The sequence below is a fragment of the Homo sapiens genome, chromosome 20 (genome assembly GCF_000001405.40).
Source record: "Homo sapiens chromosome 20, GRCh38.p14 Primary Assembly".
NCBI classification, from domain to species: Eukaryota; Metazoa; Chordata; class Mammalia; order Primates; family Hominidae; genus Homo; species Homo sapiens.
In genome coordinates this window covers 33,702,598-33,725,237 of record NC_000020.11, presented here as the reverse complement: position 1 = coordinate 33,725,237, position 22,640 = coordinate 33,702,598, and the positions used below count along the sequence as shown (strand labels likewise).

General features: G+C 49.5%; 1 protein-coding gene across 2 annotated transcripts, besides 1 other annotated feature; it reads left to right on the top strand.

Annotated features, from left to right (window-relative positions):
- The first annotated feature begins 4,927 nt into the window (after positions 1–4,927).
- PXMP4 (peroxisomal membrane protein 4) lies at positions 4,928–22,480 on the top strand. 2 transcript variants are annotated; one of them, NM_007238.5, is made up of 4 exons: positions 4,928–5,143; positions 10,502–10,564; positions 14,485–14,683; positions 17,269–22,480. In NM_007238.5, exons 1-4 carry the CDS (start codon positions 5,031–5,033, stop codon positions 17,530–17,532), a joined length of 639 nt encoding a protein of 212 aa, NP_009169.3. In that variant the 5' UTR covers positions 4,928–5,030; the 3' UTR covers positions 17,533–22,480. The 2 variants fall into 2 exon arrangements, with proteins under 2 accessions (NP_009169.3, NP_899634.1); NM_183397.3 differs by lacking the exon at positions 14,485–14,683.
- Positions 5,332–5,381: an enhancer, noted in NCBI's record as "active region_17741". NCBI's record gives its function as "activates an Ori minimal core promoter by ATAC-STARR-seq in GM12878 lymphoblastoid cells {active_cell/tissue: GM12878}" and the evidence as "EXISTENCE:reporter gene assay evidence [ECO:0000049][PMID:35858748]".
- Positions 22,481–22,640: the final 160 nt, after the last annotated feature.

Genomic DNA, 22,640 nt, shown 5'->3' with positions numbered 1-22,640 from the left:
ACAAAAAAAAAAAATTAGCTGGACATGGTGACGGGCACCTGTAATCCCAGCTACTAGGGAGGCTGAGGCAGGAGAATCACTTGAACCTGAGAGGCAGAGGTTGCGGTGAGCCGAGATTGCGCCACTGCACTCCAGCCTGGGCGCAACAGAGCAAGACTCTTGTCTCAAAAAAAAAAAAAGGTTAGGGCCAGGCGCGGTGACTTTAGGAGGTCCAGGCGGGAGGATCACTTGAGGTCAGGAGTTCAAGACCGGCCTGATCAACATGGTGAAACCTCATTTCTACTAAAAATACAAAAATTAGCTGGGCGTGGTGGTGGGTGCCTGTAATCGCAGCTACTCAGGAGGCTGAGGCAGCAGAATGGCTTGAACCTGGGAGGCGGAGGTTGCAGTGAGCCAAGATCACGCCACACTGCACTCCAGCCTGCGTGACAGAGCAAGACTGTGTCTCAAAGAAAAAAAAAAAAAGAAAGAAAGAAAGAAAAGAAAGCACTCAGGAAACAATCCCTGGCCCACAGGCAGTACTCAGTACTGTACTCTCTGTAAGTGCTTACTGGGCAAAGGTGAACAAACAGGCCCTGCACTGAGGAACTCAGAGTTACGTAAAATTAAAAAGGTCACCAGATAATAAGCGTCCCCATTATTGCAACTCTATCCTTAGCACCCTGCAGGGCCCCTTGAGGGCAGAAACTTATTCAACTATGTGAGAAAGTACTTAGCAAAAGAGAGCACCCAGGAAGAACTTGCCAAACCAAATAGTTTCGAAACACCTTCTGATGCCGGGCCGTATGTCAGGACTTTGTGACTGACTCCTCATGGGAGCAGTAGAAGTAGATTTCTAGAAATTCTGTTTGGTTCCTTTTCAAATCTGCCATGAAATAAATAGTTTTTTGCTCCCAATATTGATTTTTTTAAGTTTTAAATTTCGTGAGCACAATTTTTTTTTTTTTTGAGATGGAGTCTTGCTCTGTCGCCCACGCTGGAGTGCAGTGGTGCCATCTTGGCTCACTGCACCCTTCGTCTTCTGAGTTCAAGTGATTCTCATGCCTCAGCCTCCCGAGTAGCTGGGACTACAGGTGCCTGCCACCATGCTGGGCTAATTTTTGCTTTTTTTTTTCTTCTTTTTTTTCTTTTTGAGACGAAGTCTTGCTCTGTTGGCAGGCTGGAGTGCAGTGGCATGATCTCGGCTCACTGCAACCTCTGCCTCCCGGGTTCAAGCGATTCTCCTGCCTCAGCCTCCTGTGTGACTGGGACTACAGGCGCGCACCACCATGCCCAGCTAATTTTTGTATTTTTAGTAGAGATGAGGTTTCACCATGTTGGCCAAGCTGGTCTCGAACTCCCGACCTCAGGTGATCCACCTGCCTCAGCCTCCCAAAGTGCTGGGATTACAGGCGCGAGCCACTGTGCCCGGCCTGTATTTCCTTTTTGCCAAGGGTTTGGAGAGCACATCTACTCGGTTATCATCTCAAACCAGGTTCCCAGTTCATAGCTTGAGCTTTCTTGATCTATTATATCAGGCTCTACTCCCTGGGGTACAAAAAAACTCATCAATGATCACAACTTCCTAAGGAAGAGCTTTAAAAAAAAAATTCCTCTTTCCTTCTCCTTCAGCTGTTCTGCTTAGCACCAAGGCAGCCTTTTCTGTAGTTCCTAGGGGCTGGTGGTGTGGGTTGTGCAGTGGATTCATTTCACATTAGACTTGAGGGCAACACCCTTTGGGGCTCAGCTTAATGTGAGGAGATCTGCTATATGGCTCCCCACCTGGGGAGGCCCTAGATTTTCACTTGTGTCCCTCTTGCCCTGTGTGGTTGACAAGCTGAAACTTGCAGGTTTAATATTGGTAAACGCCCTCATGTCATAAGTAGCCTTGGTGCTCCAATATCCCAATCTTCCCGTTAAGCATCTGGTTACCAGCTTTCACTCCATAATTGGCCTGAGCATTCCTCATACTTTTTTTTTTTTTTTTAAGATGGACTTTCGGGCCGGGCGCGGTGGCTCACGCCTATAATCCCAGCACTTTGGGAGGCGGAGGCGGGCGGATCACGAGGTCAGGAGATCGAGACCATCCTGGCTAACATGATGAAACCCCATCTCTACTAAAAATACAAAAAATTAGCCCAGCGTGGTGGTGGGCACCTGTAGTCCCAGCTGCTCGGGAGGCTGAGGCAGGAGAATGGCGTGAACCCGGGAGGTGGAGCTTGCAGTGAGCCAAGATCGCACCACTGCATTCCAGCTTGGGCGACAGAGCGAGACTCCGTCTCAAAAAAAAAAAAAAAAAAGATGGACTTTCGCTCTGGTTGCCCAGGCTGGAGTGCAGCGGCGCGATCTCAGCTTACTGCAACCTCTGCCTCCCGGGTTCAAGCGATTCTCCTGCTTCAGCCTCCTGAGTAGCTGGGATTACAGGCACGTGCCACCACGCCCGGCTAATTTTGTATTTTTAGTAGAGACAGGATTTCTCTGTGTTGGTCAGGCTCGTCTCGAACTCCGACCCCAGGTGACCCACCCACCTCACCCTCCCAAAGTGCTGGGATTAAAGGCGTGAGCCACCGTGCCCGGCCACATTCCTCATACTTTTAAGCACTTCAGTTTGACACAGGGTCTCAGTCACCCAGGCTGGAGTCCAGTGGCGTGATCACCGCTCACCGCAGTGTTGACCTCTCCAGGCTCAGGTGATCCTCCCGCACCTGTAGTTGGGACTACAGGTGTGTGCCACCAGGCCTGGCTAATTTTTGTATTTTTAGTAGAGATGGGTTTTCGCCATGTTGCCCAGGCTGGTCTTGAACTCCTGGGCTCAAGAGATCCACCCACCTTGGCTTCCCAAAGTGCCGGGATTACAGGCGTGAGCTACCTACCGCACCTGGCAGAGCTTCAGTGTTTTTTTGTTTTTGTTTTTGTTTTTTAATTTTTTAGAGACGGGGTTTCACCATGTTGGTCAGGGGTGGTCTCGAACTCCTGGCTTCAAGTGATCCGCCCGCCTCGGCTTCCCAAAGTGCTGGGATTACAGGCATGAGCCACTGTGCCCAGCCAAGGAACTTCAGTGTTTTTAAGAGGATATTTTAATATATTATCTAACATAGTCATTATCTTCAGAGGAAGGATGAACTGAATAAAGTAGCCTACCATCACAAAAGAAAAATCCCGGACAACCCAGTTTCAGTGACAAAATAGGCCCAGCACAACTCCCTCCTTCATTGACCTCTGAAATTGTCCCCTGACACTGAGCAAATAACATCACTGGTAAATACCATATGGCCCAAGTACCAGGGGACACCCTCACAAGTCACAGCCACCACTCAGTGTGTAGCTGTTATTCAGTGACAACTCCACATAGTGACATCATATGTTAATGTCACCCATCAATGCTCTCAGAGATGACAACCCAAAACTATGTGTTGCTTAAACAAGCAAGTGTTGAGTACCCACCATGTGCCTAGTGTTGGGGTTACAGCAGAAAACAAGACAAATAAGATTTCTTCCTTCATAGAATTTACAGTTTGATAAGGGCAATGGACAATGAACACATAGTAAACAAGTCTAAAGTGTCAAAAGTTCTATAAAAAAAAAAAACACATAAGAACCAGGGTGGCCGGGCACGATGGCTCACATTTGTAATTCCAGCACTTTGGGAGGCCGAGGCGGGCGGATCACAAGGTCGGGAGTTTGGACTAGCCTGGCCAATATGGTGAAACCCCGTCTTTACTAAAAATACAAAAATTAGCCGGGCGTGGTGGCATGCACCTGTAGTCCTAGCTCCTCAGGAGGCTGAGGCAGAAGAATCCCTTGAACCTGGGAGGCAGAAGTTGAAGTGAGCTGAGATCACACTACTGCGCTCCAGCCTGGGTGATAGATCCGAGACTCAGTCTAAAAAAAAAAAAAAAAAAAAAAGAGCCAGGGTAATGAGTCAGAGTGGACAGTGCTACTTCAAATTGGATGTCTCAGAAAGTCTCTCTGATGAAGTGGCATTTGAGCTGAAACCTGAAGGATGAGAAGAAGCCCATCATGGGAAGAGCCCAGGATGGCGAATATCAAGCAGGGAACCAGCAAGTGCAAAGGCCCTGAGGTAGAAGGGTTCTTGGCCCAAGGAACAGAAAGGAGGCTGTTTGGCTGGGAAGCAGTGAGGTGGCAAGTGCTGGAACGTGGGGTCAGAGGGAGAGGCACGGACCAGATCACAGGAGGTCTTCTCTCTTGGGCCTTGGGGAGGAGTTTGGATTCTAAGAATAAGTGGACGCCGGCTGGGTTCACGCCTGTAATCCCAGCACTTTGGAAGGCCGAGGCAGGTGGATCACCTGAGGTCAGGAGAGCAGCCTGGCCAACATGGTGAAACCCCGTCTCTACTAAAAATACAAAAAAATTTGCCAGGCATGGTGGTGGGTGCCTGTAGTCCCAGCTACTCAGGAGGCTGAGGCAGGAGAACTGCTTGAACCCTGGGGGGTGGAGGTTGCAGTGAGCCGAGATCGCGCCACTGCACTCCAGCCTGGGTGACAGAGCGAGGCTGCATCTCAAAACATACATACGTACATGGAAGCCATTGAGGGGCCATGTGACTGACACTCTGGGAAGATCGCTATGGTAAAGGATATCCCAGTCAGAACTATCTCGCATAAAGATGGGGCCCTGCTCCTCCCTGTATCATCACCTGTCGCCCATCCCATCTCTAAGCAGGGCCACTCCTCATTCAGGAGCCCTCCTTCCAAGTACACGCCTCCTTCCAAACCCACTCGTGAACCCAACATGGCCCAAGGGAAAGTGCCTTCTGATTGGACAAATCGTGTGTGACCTTGGGCGGAGCCCACTGTGATTGGCTACAAGCTTTCCTTTCTCTTCCAGTCAGACAACTATTTCGATGAGTGCTATTGTCCCATGAGACAAGTACGCTCTCTGATTGGTCTTCCATGCATGAGTGACGCAGAAACAGCCTATAGACGCCACGAGTCGGCGGCGCTACCGAGGGGCTGTGGGCGCGCAGCTGGAACCTCCGGCTGTCAGTGCGCTTACAGTTCCTAACCCCGACCCTGCGCGCAGCCCGCACTATGGCAGCCCCGCCGCAGCTAAGGGCTCTGCTCGTAGTCGTCAACGCACTGCTGCGCAAGCGCCGCTACCACGCTGCGTTGGCCGTGCTTAAGGGCTTCCGGAACGGGGCTGTGTGAGTGGGGCCGTCGGGCCGGGCTGGGGCTGAGGGATGTCCTGCCTGGGGTCAGAGGCGCGAGTTCGAAGTCCGATGCCGCGGTGCTGTTTGCCCTGGAGCAGTCCTCGTGTGTCTCTAAGTCTCGGAGGTCACCATCTGTGCAATGGGAGCTGGATTTTGGCTTGCGCGCCTTCCCAGCTCTGAACTGGGGCTCCCACTGCACATTTTCTGGGTCTTCCAACCTTTGCAGCCTGGCCCTCTTGCTTTGACTCCTCCCATGCCAGCTTCTGTATCCCCTCATTTGGGTTCAGTTCACCTCACCTCTCTGTGTGCCTTTGGGCCTCAACGGCCCCATCTGCACAATGGGGAACTGGACTCTGGCCTCTAGCTGGCAGGCGGATGCCTCCTGTCTATTCTGTCCCCATGAAGCTTGCCCATGGGCTTGCATCCTGCTTCTCACTTCTCACCTGTAGGACTCCAGCGCTAAGTCCCGTTCGGCTCAGGGGGCTCCTGGGACGTGACAATGAATGTAAAAGAAGCTGCAACTATCCTGGCATCTTACCTGCAAGAGAGGTCTTGGGGTCATTGCCCTGGCTGGTGCCTAGAGGGGAGCTCAGTCTCCTTTAAACCTAGTGCATAACAGCCACCATTTATTGAGGGCCTACAGTGCCAGAACCGGGGACAAAGCAGAGAACAAACCAGAGAAAGTGGTTTGTGTCCCCCAGAATTGGCATCCTAGTGGCAACGTGGGATGGTGGGAAGGATGTGGATGCCTTGGCTTGAACCCTGGCCCCACCTACCCGTGTGATCTGGAGGAAGTCATTTAGCCTCTCTAAGCCTCAATATCTGTAAAATGGGCATGGTACTAGTACTTATACTATCAGGATTGAGTCAATATGTGTGAAATGCTTAGCACAGGCTGGCCACGGTGGCTCACACCTGTAATCCTAGCACTTTGGGAGGCCGAGGCAGGCGGATTATCTGAGGTCAGGAGTTCGAGACTAGCCTGGCCAACATGGCAAAACCCCGTTTCTACCAAAAATACAAAAATTAGCCGGGTGTAGTGTCACATGCCTGTAGTCCCGGCTACATGGGAGGCTGAGGCAGGAGAACCGCTTGAACCCAGGAGGTGGAGGTTGCAGTGAGCTGAGATTGTGCCACTGCACTCCAGCCTGGGTGACAGAGTGAAACTCCATCTCAAAAGGAAAAAAAAGAAAGTTTCATGAGGCCATAACTTTATCTATTTTGTTCCTTGGTGTATTACTAGCACCTGGTATTTAGTAGTTTCTGAAATATTTATTGAATGAATGAATAAGTGTGCAAGATCAGAATTGCCATTGTCCCCATTTTCCAGATGAAAAGGCTGTAGCTCAGAGGTAGACCCATTGCTCGTGGCCACAGCACTTGGTCACGGTTGGAGCCGGGATTCAAACCCAAGGATGCCTGGCACCAGTGCCAGGCTCTTGGCTCCCATGGACACTCAAGAGTCAGGTAGAACTGGTTCCCACTGGGTCTGGCCAAGGGCATATCCTTGATGTGCCCTGAGATAACATCAGTAACCCTTTTGCCAAGTTTTTTTTTTTTTTTTTTTTTTTTTTTTTTGAGATGGAGTGTCGCTCTGTTGCCCAGGCTGGAGTGCAGTGGCGCAATCTCGGCTCACTGCAAGCTCCGTCTCCCAGGTTCACACCATTCTCCTGCCTCAGCCTCCTGAGTAGCTGGGACTACAGGCACCCACCACCACGCCCGGCTAATTTTTTTGTATTTTTAGTAGAGACAGGGTTTCACCGTGTTAGCCAGGATGGGCTCGATCTCCTGACCTCGTGATCGGCCTGTCTCGGCCTCCCATTGTGCTGGGATTACAGGCGTGAGCCACCACACCCAGCCTTGGACACAGGTTTGATTCCAGTCTTTTGTTTTTTCAAACAAGCCTGCAGTGAACATTCATGTATATTTGGGGAGACAATAGTATGTGGCTCATGACCATTGTCTCAAGGAGGCTGTCAGGATTTTTAGACCTTGTAGCCTGGTAAGACCAGGGTTGGGTACCTGGAGAACTTAGGGATAGGGGTAGGGGTGGAGGTGTCCAATAAAGAAGAGTAAGAAAAGAAGAGACACTAATATTGATTGACCTAGGAACTTTTATATGTGCGTAACTGCCAAAAGCCATTCTGTAAAATGGAGAATACCTTTTGTTGATGGGAAAAGGGAGGTTCAGAGAGGTTAACTAATTTATCCAAGCTCACATAGCAAAACATGGCAGGGCTTTGGCCCAAATACCACTGTCTTTCTACTATTCATCTGAGTATAGTTAAAACAATGAAAGTAAACATGGTCTTGTTCACGTCATTCCTAGATCCCTAAATGAGGAGGGGAAAGGAAGGGTGGGGGAAGAGGTTTGAATCTTAAAAAGAGGCAATTATGTAACAATTATGTAACATTTAAAATATTTAATAATTTTTTTTTTTTTTTTTTTGAGACGGAGTCTCGCTCTGTCGCCCAGGCTGGAGTGCAGTGGCGCGATCTCGGCTCACTGCAAGCTCCGCCTCCCGGGTTCACGCCATTCTCCTGCCTCAGCCTCCCAAGTAGCTGGGACTACAGGCGCCCGCCACTACGCCCGGCTAATTTTTTGTATTTTTAGTAGAGACGGGGTTTCACCGTTTTAGCCGGGATGGTCTCAATCTCCTGACCTCGTGATCCGCCCGCCTCGGCCTCCCAAAGTGCTGGGATTACAGGCGTGAGCCACCGCGCCCGGCCTAAAATATTTAATAATTTTAAAAGCAGTACTTAATCATAGATAATTCTGGAAGTCTAGAAAAGTTTAAAAAGCAAGCAAAAATAAATTATATCTATTATATATTCCTCCAGTGCAGTGGGCATTGCTAATAACAGTGGCATATTTCCTTCCAGTTTTTTATTTTATTTTATTTTTGTTTTTGAGACAGAGTCTTAGTCTGCTGCCCAGGCTGGAGTACAGTGGCACGATCTTAACTCGCTGCAGCCTCTGCCTCCTGGGTTCAAGAGATTCTCCTGCCTCAGCCTCCCGAGTAGCTGGGATTACAGGTGCCTGCCACCACACCCAGCTAATTTTTGTAGTATTTTTAGTAGAGACAGGGTTTCACCATGTTGTCCAGGTTGGTCTCAAACTCCTGACCTCAAATGATCTGCCCACTTCAGCTTCCCAAAGTGCCAGCCTTTTTATAAATGCATTTTTACAAAGTTGAGGTCCTTCTTTGTATAATAGTTAGAAAGAGGTACATTTTGAATAGGTACAGTGTTACCTAACAGCTGTTTTAGGGAATCTGTTAACTTTAAGATGAGCTAAGCTGAAGACAGAACCTTCTAGAAATGACATTGTCATGGGTAAGGGGTGTTCTGGCATCGGTCAGTCAACAGTTATTTATCAAGCACATGTTATATGTCAGGTACCATGTGGGGTACTATGCTAGGGACTATGCAGATGACAAGCCAGACACATTCCCTGTCTTCACAGAGCCCACAGTCTAGCACAGGAAAGAGATCATTATAATAGAATAAATACTGAATAACCGAGTCATTAAATTGGGAAGATGAAGTGCTGGAGAGAAGTTTTGGGATCTGTGGCAATGAAAAATTGCTCAAACCTAGGCTGGAGCATCAGGAGGCCTTTGCAGAGGGCCCAGCTGAGACCGGAAGGCTGAGGGAAGGTGGCTGGGGAGGAGCACGCCAGGTAGTAGGAACTGCCAGGCCAAAGCCAGGAGCAGAGAAGAACCTGATGTGTCAGATGCAGTCCAGGAAGGACAGTGTGGCTGGAGCAGCAGAGGAGGGCCCTGGGGTGAGGTAGGAGCAGTGAGCAGGGGCCAAGGCTATAGCACTTTCAAGGCTGCAGGGAAGAGCTTGGAATTTGTTCTGTGAGTAGTGGAAAGGTGTTAGAGGATTTTAAGCTGGGAGTGATGTGATGAGATTGATGTTTTTAAAAGATGAGACTGGCTAGGACAGGCAGGATGGCTCACGCCTGTAATCCCAGCACTTTGGGAGGCCGAGGTGGGCGGATCACCTGAGGTCGGGAGTTCGAGACCAGCCTGACCAACAGGGAGAAACCTCGTCTCTACTAAAAATACAAAGTTAGCCAGGCATGGTGGCACATGCCTGTAATCCCAGCTACTCGGGAGGCTGAGGCAGGAGAATCGCTTGAACCCAGGAGGCGGAGGTTGCAGTGAGCCGAGATCATGCCATTGCACTCCAGGCTGGGCAACAAGAACAAAACTTCGTCTCAAAAAAAAAAAAAAAAAAAAGAGACTGGCTGCAGTGAGAACGTCAGGATGGAGCAGAGGGAGCAATTCCACAAAGCCAGTTGAGCAAGGATGGTGGACCTTTTACATGTACCATCTCCTTCCATCAAAATTATGGGGCGGGGCACAGTGGCTCACGCCTGTAATCCCAGCACTTTAGGAGGCCAAGGCGGGCAGATCACCTGAGCTCAGGAGTTTGAGACCAGCCTGGCCAACATGGAGAAACCTTATCTCATACTAAAAATACAAAAATTAGCCAGGCATGGTGGCACGTGCCTGTAATCCCAGCTACTTGGGAGGCTGAACCAGGAGAATTGCTTGAACCCAGGAGGTGGAGGTTGCAGTAAGCTAAGATCATACCACTGCACTCCAAGCCTGGGCTACAGAGAGAGACTCTGTCTCAGAAAAGAAAAAAATTACAACCAGCCCTCTGAAGTTTAACATCCCTTTTTGAGGTGAGTGGATCACCTGAGATCAGGAGTTCCAGACCAGCCTGGGCAACATGGTGAAACTCCATCTCTACTAAAAATACAAAAATTAGCCTGGCATGGTGGCTGGCGCCTGTAATCCCAGCTACTTGGGAGGCTGAGACAGGAGAATTGCTTGAACCCGGGAGGCCGAGGCTGCAGTGAGCCAAGATTGCACCACTGTACTCCAGCCTGGGCGACAGAGTGAGACTCCATCTCAAAAAACAAACAAAAAACATCCCTTTTTATGCTGAGCGTGATGGCACACACCTGTAGTCTCAGCTACTCAGGGAGGTGAGGCTGGAGGATCGCTGGATTCCAGGAGTTCAGGGCTGCAGTGAGCTATGATCGTACCACTGCACACCAGCCTGGGAGACAAAGTGAGGCTCTGTCGCTAAATAATTAAAAATAAACATCCCTTTTTATGGTGCGGAAACTGAGTCTGAGAGAAGTTAAAGGACGCGCCTGAGACCATACTACCAGGAAGTATCAGAGCCAGGATTTGCATCCAGCATGATTTCCCCTCCCAAAGTGGTGTTAGAATTTGGGATGGGGGGAGAGAACAAGGGGTCAAAAGGACAGCCCAAAAAGAAAGTGCGACACAGTGACATTATAGTAACTGTTTTCTTCTGTTTCTACAGCTATGGAGCCAAAATCCGGGCCCCTCACGCGCTGGTCATGACCTTTCTCTTCCGGAATGGCAGGTACACATCCCTCAAACTGGGAGAGAATGTGGTCAGCCCTCAGTGCCAGGACAGTCGTAATAGCTTCTTAGCTGGGTCTACCCTGTCCCCCCATCACGCCTTCTAAAGTTCAACTCTTTTTTTGTTGTGTTTTGTTGTTGTTGTTGTTGTTGTTGTTGAGATGGAGTCTCTCTCTGTCACCCAGGTCAGAGTGCGGTGATGATCTCGGTTCACTGCAACCTCCGCCTCTGGGGTTCAAGCGATTCTCCTGCTTCAGTCTCCTGAGTAGCTGGGACTATAGGCACCCACCACCACACCTGGCTAATTTTTGTATTTTTAGTAGAGATGGAGTTTTACCATATTGGCCAGGCTGGTCTTGAACTCCTGACTTCAGGGGCCTTCCACAGTGCTGAGATTACAGGTGTGAGTCACCGTGCCCGGCCCTAAAGTCCAACTCTGATCCCATTATCCCTGCTTGAAAACTCCCTGTGCCCTCCAAGGAAGCCCAGCTTCCAGGCCTGGCCTTCAGGGCCTTCTGCAGTCTGGCCTCAGCTGACCCCCGTTGTGTCCACCCTGGCGTGCCCTTGGCACACAGAACTCGCTGCCATTCCATGCACATGCCATGTGTATAGCTCCACCTGCACACATCTGCTCACGCAGCACCCCCGCCAGGAGTGCCTTTGGCTCGCACTCCACCTTTACTTCCCTCCTGGCAATCCAGACCAGTTCTCTGAGGATCACTTCCTCCTCAAAGCTCCCTGATCTCTTGTCTCTCGCTGAAGCATCTTCACCTTCCTGTCATCTCCCGTAGCTCTTCCCTCAAGGCACTTCTCAGAAAACGGGTTGCGGTCTAGTGTTTAATGCATATAGGCTCATGTGGAACATACAGGAATCATGCACTGGCAGCCTCCAGGCCAAATCCAACTTGCAAGATGTGCTCATTTTGTATTTTTATCTTATTTATTTTTTTCTATTTTGTTTTTGTTGTCCTCCAAGTCATTTTTTGAAAAACTGAACTCATGTGTTCATTCAGCAGATATTTATTGAGCATCTGCTATGTGCCAGACACTGTTCTAGGTACTGGGGATACAGCAGTGAACAAAACGGACAGTGACTCCTGCTGACATTCTAGCAGGGGGTGGCAGAAAATAAACATAGTAAGGAGAGTCTGTGGTATGTTAGAAGGTGCTATGGTTATGGAAAAGCAAAATTAGAGCAGGGAAAAAGGGAAAGGGCATCAGAAGTGCTGAGGGGACAGGTTGCAGAATTAAATAGGGAAGGCCGCTATGAGAAAGTGACATTGGAGTAAAGACTTGAAGGAGACAGAGTTGTCCAGGTGGATATGAGGGGAAAGAGTGAGTGTTCCAGGCCACGGGCATAGCCAGTGCAAAGACCTTGAGATAGGATCCTGCTTGATAAGTGTGAGGAGGCTGGAGCAGAGGGGCTGAAGGGGAGAGAGGACAGAGAGGCGGGTCACAGCTTGACCTGGGTTGGTCCTTTCCAGCTTTGGGTCATAGAGAGGAATTTGGCTTTTCCTTTAAGTGCAATGGGAAATTGTTGTAAGATTTTGAGCAGGGCTGCACCATTATTTGACTTATGTGTTAACAGCGTGAGAGTTAAGAATTTGCTGCTAGGCCAGGCGCAGTGGCTCACGCCTATAATCCCAACATTTTGGGAGGCCGAGGTGGTACACTTGAGGTCAGGAGTTCGAGACCAGTCTGGCCAACATGGCAAAACCCTGTCTCTACTGAAAAATACAAAGATTAGGTTGGGCACAGTGGCTCATGCCTGTAATCCCAGCACTTTGGGAAGCCGAGGCAGGCAGATCACGAGGTCAGGAGATCAAGACCATCCTGGCCAACATGGTGAAACCCCGTCTCTACTAAAAATACAAAAATTAGCTGGGCTTGGCGGCGCACACCTGTGGTCCCAGCTACTCGGGAGGCTGAGGCAGGAGAATTGCTTGAACCTGAGAGGCGGAGATTGCAGTGAGCCGAGATTGCGCTACTGCGCTCCAGCCTGGGCCACACAGAGTGAGACTCCGTCTCAAAATAAATAAATAAATGAACAAACAAAGATTAGTCGGATGTGATGTTGCACACCTGTAGTCCCAGCTACTCGGGAGGCTGAGGCAGGAGAATCGCTCAAACCCAGGAGGAAGAGGTTGCAGTGAGCCCAGATCATGCCACTGGACTCCAGCCTGGGCAACAGAGCTAGACTCCATCTCAGAGGAAAAAAAAAAAAAATTGCTGCCAGGTTAAGAACAGATTGGTGTGGGGGGAGGGGAGCAGGGCCACCCAAGGGCAGAAGCAGGTTCCCTCCAAGAGGCTGTGGCAGTGATGCAAGTGAGCAAATGTCGGGCTTGGACCTCAGTGGTGCTGGTGCAGGTGAGAAGAGTGGTCAGTCTCTAGACACATTTTGAAGGCAGGGTTAGTGCCAACATTTAAAAACTGGTAGATTCCACATGGAAATCCAGCTTTCCTGCCTTAGAACTGGCAACACTGGGGCCTGTGTTTGCGCGGGGTGAGAGCCATCTGCTCCCGGCTGTCCCCAGTCACCTGGAAGATTTCCCCGTGGACCCTCTCACTCATTTAGGGTCTTCGTCTAGCCTTAAGAGCACCTGAGTTTGCCATTCCTGAATTGGGAGGAGTAGACTCTGCTCCTTCTCTGTGTTATCCTTCCTGCCCCCTAGTGATTTTTTTTTTTTTTTTTAATTTTTAGAGACAGGGTCTCTGTCACCCAGACTGGAGTGCTGTGGCACAATCACAGTTCACTGCAGACTCAAGCAAACCTCCTCCTTCAGCCTCCCAAGTAGCAGGAACTACACGCGTGTGCCACCACACCTGGCTAATTTTTTCTATTTTTTATAGAGACGAGGTCTCATTATGTTGCCCAGGCTGGTCTGGAACTCCTGGGCTCAAGGGATCTGCCCGTGTTGACCTCTCGAAGTGCTGGGATGACAGGTGTGAGCCACTGTGTCTGGCCTCCTAGTAATTTTTTCTTTTTTTAAGGTAGAGTCTCTGTCGTCCAGGCTGGAATGCAGTGGCACCATCTCAGCTCAGCCTCCCAAAGTGTTGGGGTTATAGGTGTGAGCCACTGCACCTGGCCTCTAGTGATTTTTAAGAGATAAAAAGAATAGCCTCCTCTATCTAAATGTTCACTTCTCAGGATAAAGACCAAACTCAGCATGGCCCCACTGTCTTTGCCCTGCACCCTCCCCACAAACTCTCTGGTTCTCTGCCCATGGCCACGGTGGCTTCTCTCTGCTCCTTTCCTCATACTCCCTGACCCTCCTCCGGGCGTGGCACGTGCTGAGCCCTCTGCCTGGGATGTGGCTCTCCTCCCCTCTTGACCTCCTCATCGGGAAGATCCCAGCGCCATCTCTTGTCAAGGTCAAAGTTCTTTTTGTGATTATTTATTTAACATTTTCCTCTCCCAGTAGATCATAAGCCCCTGAGGGTGGCGAGCAGATCTGTTTCTTCTCAGAATCGTACCCCCACATCCAGCACATGGCAGACACTCACTCCTTCACATGTTTACTCAAAAAAACATTTATTAAGCACCTACTACGTGCCAAGCCCTGCAGATGAACAAGCCAGATCCAGACACCACCCTCCTATAGCTGCTACTGGGGTGAGGGAAGATAATAAACAAGCACATAAATGTCGGTTGGTGACCATAGCTAGGAAGGAAAAGAAAATTAGGGTCAGGACAGGATGTGATGGGTATTCTGTTCTGTAGGGTGATCAGGGAGGGTCTCCTTGGGGAGGTGGCACTGAGTCAAGGCCTGAATCAAGGGAGAGAACATGAAGGGTAGAGGCCGGTGACTGAATGAGCATTACTCCGAGCTCCTTGGCTGGTTGTTAGGCATGCCCAGTGCGTAAAAGCCCTTTGGGGCTGCTGAGCCTGCACTCATGGCAGGGGCACCTGTGTTTGTGCAGCCTCCAGGAGAAGCTGTGGGCCATACTGCAGGCCACATATATCCACTCCTGGAACCTGGCACGGTTTGTGTTCACCTACAAGGGTCTCCGTGCCCTGCAGTCCTACATACAAGGCAAGACCTACCCAGCACACGCATTCCTGGCGGCCTTCCTCGGGGGTATCCTGGTGTTTGGAGAAAACAATAACATCAACAGCCAGGTAAAGATCCTCCCGAGATGGGGGTAGTGAAGGGGGCGTGGTTCAGCACAGAGGTGGGGGTGACAGAAGGGGGCGTGGTTCAGTACAGAGGTGGGGGTGATGGAAGGGGGCGTGGTTCAGTACAGAGGTGGTGACGGAAGGGGGCGTGGTTCAGTGTAGAGGAGGGGGTTGGGGAAGAGGGCTTGTTTCAGTATAGAGGTAGGAGTGGGGGAAGGGGCGTGATTCAGTGTAGAGGTAGGAGTAGGAGAAGAGGTGTGGTTCTGTATGGAGGTAGGAGTGGGGGAAAGGGCGTGGTTCTGGATAGAGGTGGGAGTGGGGGAAAGGGCGTGGTTCATTGTAGAGGTGGGAGTGGGGGAAGGGGTGTGGTTCTGTATAGAGGTAGGAGTGGGGAAAGGGCGTGGTTCTGGATAGAGGTGGGAGTGGGGGAAGGGCGTGGTTCTGGATAGAGGTGGGAGTCGGGGAAGGGGTGTGGTTCAGTGTAGAGTTATGAGTGGGGACAAGGGCGTGGCTCAGTGTAGAGGTAGGAGTGGGGGAAGGGGTGTGGGTCAGTGTAGAGTTTTGAGTGGCAGAAGGGCGTGGTTCTGTATAGAGGTAGGAGTGGGAGAAAGGGCGTGGTTCAGTGTAGAGTTAGGAGTGGGGAAAGAGCGTGGTTCAGTGTGGAGGTGGGAGTGGGGGAAGGGGCCTGGTTCCGTGTAGAGGTGGGGGTGGGGGAAGGGGACGTGGTTCAGTGTAGAAGTATGGGTGGGTGAAGGGGCGTGGTTCAGTGTAGAGGTGGGGGTGGGGAGGGGCGTGGTTTATTCTAGAGGTAGGGGTGGGTGGAGGGGCGTGTTTCTGTATAGAGGTGGGGCTAGAGGAGGGGGCCCTGGTTCTGTATAGAGGTTGGGGTGGAGGTGATTAAGATGATAAGCTCTTGGCTCTTTTGCATGTCTGAGTTCTGTGACTCACCAGTCCCTCTGTGACCTTGGGAAGGTCACTTTCCTCTCAGTTTTTCCATCTGTAATTTCATGGTTCCCAAAAATCAATGCATGTGCTGCTCTCTGGGGCAAAGATTGTTTTTAAAAATCACTCTGTAGTGAAATGAGGGAAAAAAATGACCCTGAAGTAAGGTTTTCATAAAAGAAAACTTAATACACTCTAAAAACTGTCTCTCATTCTGTGACTTGTCCTTTTTCTGGGTTAAACTTCGCTTTTGTTATGAAATGATGATGAATAAGAGACTAAAAGCTAGTCGTTGGGTTTTTGTTCTGTTTTGTTTTTGTTGAGACAGTCTTACTCTGTTGCCCAGGCTGGAGTGCAGTGGCACGATCTAGGCTCATTGCAACAACCTCCACTTCCCAGGTTCAAGCATTTCTCCTATCTCAGCCTCCCAAGTAGCTGGGACTACAAGCGCCTGCCACCATACCAGCTAATTTTTGTATTTTTAGTAGAGATGGGGTTTCACCATATTGGTCAGGCTGGGTCTGAAACTCCTGACCTCAGATGATGCACCCCCTCTTGGTCTCCCAAAGTGCAGCGTGAGCCACCACACCTGGCAGAATGCTAGTTGTTTTTTAATGTTCTTTGGAAACCTGAAAAGTTGGCAGCCTCTCTCTACTTGCCTCCCTCAAATTTCTTAAATATTTTTAAATTGTAAAAATAATTTTTAGGCCAGGCATGGTGGCTCATGCCGGTAATCCCATTTCCATTAAAAATGCAAAAAAATTAGGCATGGTGGCGCACACCTGTAGTCTCAGCTGCTTGGGAGGCTGAGGCAGGAGAATCGCTTGAACCAGGGAGGCAGAGGTTGCAGTGAGCCAAGATCGTGCCACTGCACTCCAGCCAGGGTGACAGAGCAAGACTCTGTCTCAAAAAAAAAGAAAAAAAAATTTTACCATTTTTTAGCCATAATTTTTATTGGCTGTCACATATAATCCCAGCACTTTGGTAGGCTGAGGAGGATTGCTTGAGGCCAGGAGTTTGAGACAGCCAGGGCAACAGACCAAGACCCTATCTCTAAAGTTTTTTTTTTTTTTTAACTACATCCAAAGTAAGCTGAAGAAAAGAAGCAATAAAAATAAGTGCAGAAATCAGGCCAATGCTGTGGCTCCCACCTGTAATCCCAGCACTTTGGGAGGCCAAGGTGGGCAGATCATCTGAGGTCAGGAGTTCAGGACCATCCTGGCCAACACATTGAAACCCTATCTCTACTAAAAATATAAAAACTAGCTGGGCATGGTGGGCGCCACCTGTAATCCCAGCTACTCCGGAGGCTGAGGCAGGAGAATCACTTGAACCTAGGAGGTGGAGGTTGCAGTGAGCCGAGATCCAGTAAGCCCACTCTCTCTAGCCTAGCCGACAGAGCCAGATTCTGTCTCAGAAAAAAAAAAAAAAAATTAGTACAGAAATCAATGAAATTGCAAACAGGAAATCAATAGAGAAAAGGACCTAAACCAAAAGTTGATTCTTTGAAGAGATAATTAAAATAAATAAACCCCTAGCCAGGCTCTCTAAGAAAAAAAGAGAAATGAAACAAATTATTAATATCAAAAACAAAAGAGGGACATCACTATTGATCACCAGTAATTCCCATCATTCCCTCTTTGCAGATCAACATGTACCTGTTGTCACGCGTCCTGTTTGCCCTGAGCCGCCTGGCTGTAGAGAAGGGCTACATCCCTGAACCCAGGTGGGACCCGTTCCCGCTGCTCACTGCGGTGGTGTGGGGGCTGGTGCTGTGGCTCTTTGAGTATCACCGATCCACCCTGCAGCCCTCGCTGCAGTCCTCCATGACCTACCTCTATGAGGACAGCAATGTATGGCACGACATCTCAGACTTCCTCGTCTATAACAAGAGCCGTCCCTCCAATTAATGCAGCCCTGAGGTGTCTGGCTGTGGCTCAAGATTTGGCCCCATGCAGACCCTCCCAAAGGATACTGCCTTCTCAAGATCATAGGCCTCAGACTCCAACTGGTGTTATCCCAGGGTTCCGTTTGCTGAAGTAAAAACACTGATTTTAAAATCCCAGTGGGTACCTTTGTATGGTGGCACAAGTGGCCGAATCAGGCTGAGGAATCTACGGCTTGGTTCCAGCTGTGCAGCTGACTTCTGTGAGACTGGGGCCAGCCACACTACTCTCTAGGCCTCAGGGGTCAAGGAGCTCAGAGGAGGGCCCTGAGGTCTCTTTCCGGTGGGTATGTTCATTCTTCAACTGTTCTTATGTCACAGAGGGCTCCTTGCTGGTGGGCAGTGGGTTGTAAATACTTTTTAAAAAACACTAAGTTCCTTATCTCAGATGCTGTTCTACTGGAGAAGTTCTAGATTCCCACTGTCCAATAGAAACACGTGAGCCATATATGTAATTAAAATGTTTCTAGTAGCTGCATTACAAAAAAGAAGCCTGGGCACTGTGGCTCACTCCTGTAATCTCAGAACTTTGGGAGGCTGAGGCAGGTGGATCACTTGAGCTCAGGAGCTTGAGACCAGCCTGGGCAACATGGTGAAACCCAGTTTCTACAAAAAATACAAAAAATTAGCCGGGTTCCATCACCTGTGGTTCCAGCTGAGGTGGGAGGATCACTTGAGCCTATGAGGTCGAGGCTACAGTGAGCAAAGATCACGCCACTGCACTCCAGCCTGGGCGACAGTGAGACCCTGTCTCACCAAAGAAAAAAAAAAGGTGAGATTAATCTTCACTATATATTTTAACACAAATTTCTAAAAGTTATTTCAACATATAATTAACATCATTAGATATTTTGTACTCTTTTTTGTATTAAGTATTCAAAATTGGGTGTATATTTTGCCACCCACATTTTCAGGACCCAGTAGCCACATGTGGCTAGTGGCTGCTGTGACGGGCAACACAGATATGGAACACTTGTATCCTCACAGATTATTCTAGTGGACAGTGCAGATCTAGAGCTAGAGGACATGGGTTTGAGTCCCCACTCCCCCACTGTGTAACCTTGGGGAAGGTTCTGGACCTCTCAGAGCCTCAATTTATCATAAAATGAGGATAATCATAATGCCGTGGTCCTCACTGGACTTGTGCAACTACCACTGATGTGCTACTAATTACTTTCATTTAGTGCATTCATACTTCCACTTGGGTGTTTTCCACATATTATTATTATTTTTTTTTTTTAAGTAGCGACAGGGTCTCGCTCTGTCACTAGGGCTAGTCTCGACCTCCTAGCCTCAAGCAATCTTCCTGCCTCAGTCTCCCAAAGTGCCATGATTACAGGCATGAGCCACTGCCCCTAGCCTGCACATATTATTTTTAAACCATACAGTGGCCTTGCAAATGTGTGTTTTCGTCCCCATTTTACAGATGTAGAAACTGAGGGTCAGGCCAGGTGCAGTGGCTCACGCCTGTAATCCCAGCACTTTGGGAGGCTGAGGCAGGCAGATAACCTGAGATCAGGAGTTCTTGACCAGCCTGGCCAACATGGTAAAACCCCATCTCTACTAAAAATACAAAAATTAGCCAGGCATGGTGGCACGTCCCTGTAATCCCAGCTACTGGGGAGGCTGAGGCAGGAGAATCGCTTGAACCTGGGAGGCAGAGGCTGCAGTGAGCTGAGATCGCACGACTGCACTCCAGCCTGGGCCACAGAGCGAGACTGTGTCTAAAAAAAAAATAAAAAAAGAAAAGAAAAGAAACTGAGAATCAGAGAGGAGAGTAACTTGCCCAAGGTAATACAGCTAGTATAACAGCCGAATCAAGATTTGAACTCAGATTCGTCTGATTTCAAAGCCCATGTTTTTTCCAGTGCCTTGTTTCAAATTTAGAAACCTAAGCCATGCTATGCAAATGTTAGCTCATTATAGGATATGGGCCAGAAAGGGGTACACATTCAAATGCCCATAGGGGCCTACAATGACATAGTGCTATGCGATGAGGAGTGATGGGGACATAGGGAACTGGAGACTTGTGTACCAGTCTGATTTTTTCTTTTTTTTTTTTTTTTGAGACAGAGTCTTGCTCTCTCGCCCAGGCTGGAGTGCAGTGGCGCGATCTTGGCTCACTGCAAGCTCTGCCTCCCAGGTTTACTTACACCATTCTCCTGCCTCAGCCTCCGGAGTAGCTGGGCCTACAGGTGCCCGCCACCACACCCGGCTAATTTTTTGTATTTTTAGTAGAGATGGGGTTTCACCGTGTTAGCCAGGATGGTCTCAATCTCCTGACCTCATGATCCACCCACCTTGGCCTCCCAAAATGCTGGGATTACAGGTGTGAGCCACCATGCCTGGCCAAGTCTGCTTTTTTCGAAACCACGATCCTAGACCAGGCACGGTGGCTTGCACCTGTAATCCCAGCACTTTGGGAGGCCGAGGCGGGTGGATCACCTGAGGTCAGGAGTTCGAGACCAGCCTGGCCAACATGGCGAAATCCTGTCTCTACTAAAAATACAAAAATTAGCTGGACATGGTGGCAGGCACCTGTAATTCCAGCTACTTGGGAGGCTGAGGTGGGAGAATCTCTTGAACCTGGGGGGCTGCTGTGAGCCGAGATAGTTCCATTACACTTCAGCCTGGGTGACAGAGTAAGACTCTGTCTCAAAAAAAAAAAAAAAAAAAAAAACACAATCCTGGACAAATCAAACAAGTCTCCAGGAAAATCTGGTCCATGGGCTACCAATTTGAGACCATTGGTCTGGTAGATACACTTTCATTAATATACTTACTCCATCACTCTTTCTATATTTTAGAAGTTACTAGTAGAAATGTATGCAGGAGTCACTGGAGACCTTATTAAAATGCAGCTTCTGATTCAGTGAGCTGGGGTGGGGCCTGAGAGTCTGCATTTCTCCCAGGCTCCCTGGTGCTGCCAGTGGTGCTGCTCTGAGTAACAAGGGGGTGGGGAATGATATGGAGCCGTCCATTATTATCCCATCTGACAAATGAGTCACAGAGCCCTTAGGTAATTGAGGTGGGATCAGTCTGATTCTGTAAGCTGTGTTTTCAGCCACAACATTTACTGCAAACTTGGAGTAGGTAATTATGAAGTTCCTTTAACTTGCTGTGGAGGTTGAATGAGCTCTAGAGTAAGGGGTCCGCAACCCCGGTACCGGTCCATGGCCTGTTCGGAACCAGGCCACGCAGCAGGAGTTGAAAGGTGGGTGAGCTAGCGAAGCTTCATCTGTATGTACAGCCACTCCCCACTGCTCACATTACCACCTGAGCTCTGCCTTCTGTCAGATCAGTGGTGGCATTAGATGCTCGTAGGAATGCAAACCCTATTGTGAACTGCGCATGCAAGGGATCTAGGTTGCATGCTCCTTATGAGAATCTAATGCCTGATGATCTGTCACTGTCTCCCGTCACGCCTTGATGGGACTGTCTAGTTGCTGGAAAACAAACTCAGGGCTCCCACTGATTCTACATTATGGTGTGTTGTACAATTATTTCATTATATATTACAAGGTAATAATAATAGAAATAAAATCCACAGTAAATGCAATGTGCTTGAATCATCCTGAAACCACGTCCCCTCCCCAGTGGTCCGTGGAAAAATTATCTTCCCCAAAACTGGTCCCTGGTGCCAAAAAGGTTGGGGACTGCTGCTCTAGGGGTTGGGGAGGGCAGAGGGCTTGGGCCATCACCAGGCAGGTTTTATAGCAGATGGTGGGGGTGCCCTGCCTATAGCTCCTCTAAATAACGACTCTGGTGCACACTAGCCAGCTTTGCCAGTGGCCGCCCCTCTGTCTTTCTGCCTGAGGACTCTAGCTTGTCACTGGTGCCTCCTTTGCCAGCCTCTGGCAGGCCTGAAGGGCTGGAGAATGAACACATCCTTGGAGCAACCTTCAACCAATGACTGATAAATACCCCCACTCCCACAGCCCGCATCCCTCACCCCTCGGGTGGGATAACTCAGAGGTGCGTGCTCCACACTGACTCCCAGGGCCGCCCAGCAGGGCTGAGCCTCAAACACCCTCCCCATCTCCCTTCCTCATGCCCCTACCAGTGCTTCCTGGGACCACTTCCCATATGAACCACTTGCACTCAAACCCTTGTCTTAGAGTCTGCTATTGGGGGAACCCAAACTAAAACTGGCCTCTGTACAGCAGGTTGAGAGGCAATATAGCATGGTGGTCAGGGACATAGGCTTTGGAGCCAGAGTGCCTGGGCTCAAGCCCTGGCCCCACAGTTTCCTTGGGCAAGTGACTGAGCCATTCTGTGCCTCTATTTCCTCATTGATAAAGTAGGCGTTGTCGTAGCACACACCTCATCGAGTGGTGTGGAGGGTTAAAGAATATGACACAGTTAAAGTGAGTCCCCAATAAATGCTGTTATTTCTAAGAGCATCCAAATGTAGAGGAAGTGTGCCCCTGAGGACTGAGCACACCCTGCTTTTAGCCTGTCCTGCCCCCAGCTGAAGGTGAAACCTTGGCCGCCTGCCCTCCTGAAGTCCCGCCACTGCTGCTGGGGGTTGGCCAACTCCGCTACCGACTGTCTCTGCTCTCTAAGAATAGGTTTCCCTCACAGATGGCATCTCTCTGGATGCTGCTAGAGCATCTGGTGCTTCCAACTGCACACTCCAGGGAGGAAGGCAGTGTGGTCTGTGCCGGGGAGCAGGGCTCTGCCTTCCAGCAGATCTGAGAGGAGTCCCATTTGGCTCCTTCCTAGCTGCCCTCCATTCTCTAAGACCTGTAAAACAGGGATGGCCAGAGGGCTCTTGTTGCACAGTAAGTGCTATGCTTCCTAAATGCTAGTTCCTGAAATAGAATGGTTTAACCTCTACTTACTAAACACCTGCTACAATCCTGTTAATTCTTTTGACATGTAAGACTAAAATAAATAAATAAATAAATAAATATATATGTGTATATATTTTGAGATGGAGTCTCGCACTGTCGCCCAGGCTGGAGTGCAGTGGCGCGATCTCGGCTCATGGCAAGCTCCTCCTCCCAGGTTCATGCCATTCTCCTGCCTCAGCCTCCCGAGTAGCTGGGACTACAGGCGCCTGCCACCATG

Bases quoted from the DNA above. Each gene is read 5' to 3' on its own strand.
- PXMP4 (NM_007238.5), top strand. From the start codon at position 5,031: ATGGCAGCCCCGCCGCAGCTAAGGGCTCTGCTCGTAGTCGTCAACGCA. The intron at 5,144-10,501 runs GTGAGTGGGGCC...CTGTTTCTACAG, and splicing joins GGCTTCCGGAACGGGGCTGT to CTATGGAGCCAAAATCCGGG. The intron at 14,684-17,268 runs GTAAAGATCCTC...CCCTCTTTGCAG, and splicing joins ACAATAACATCAACAGCCAG to ATCAACATGTACCTGTTGTC.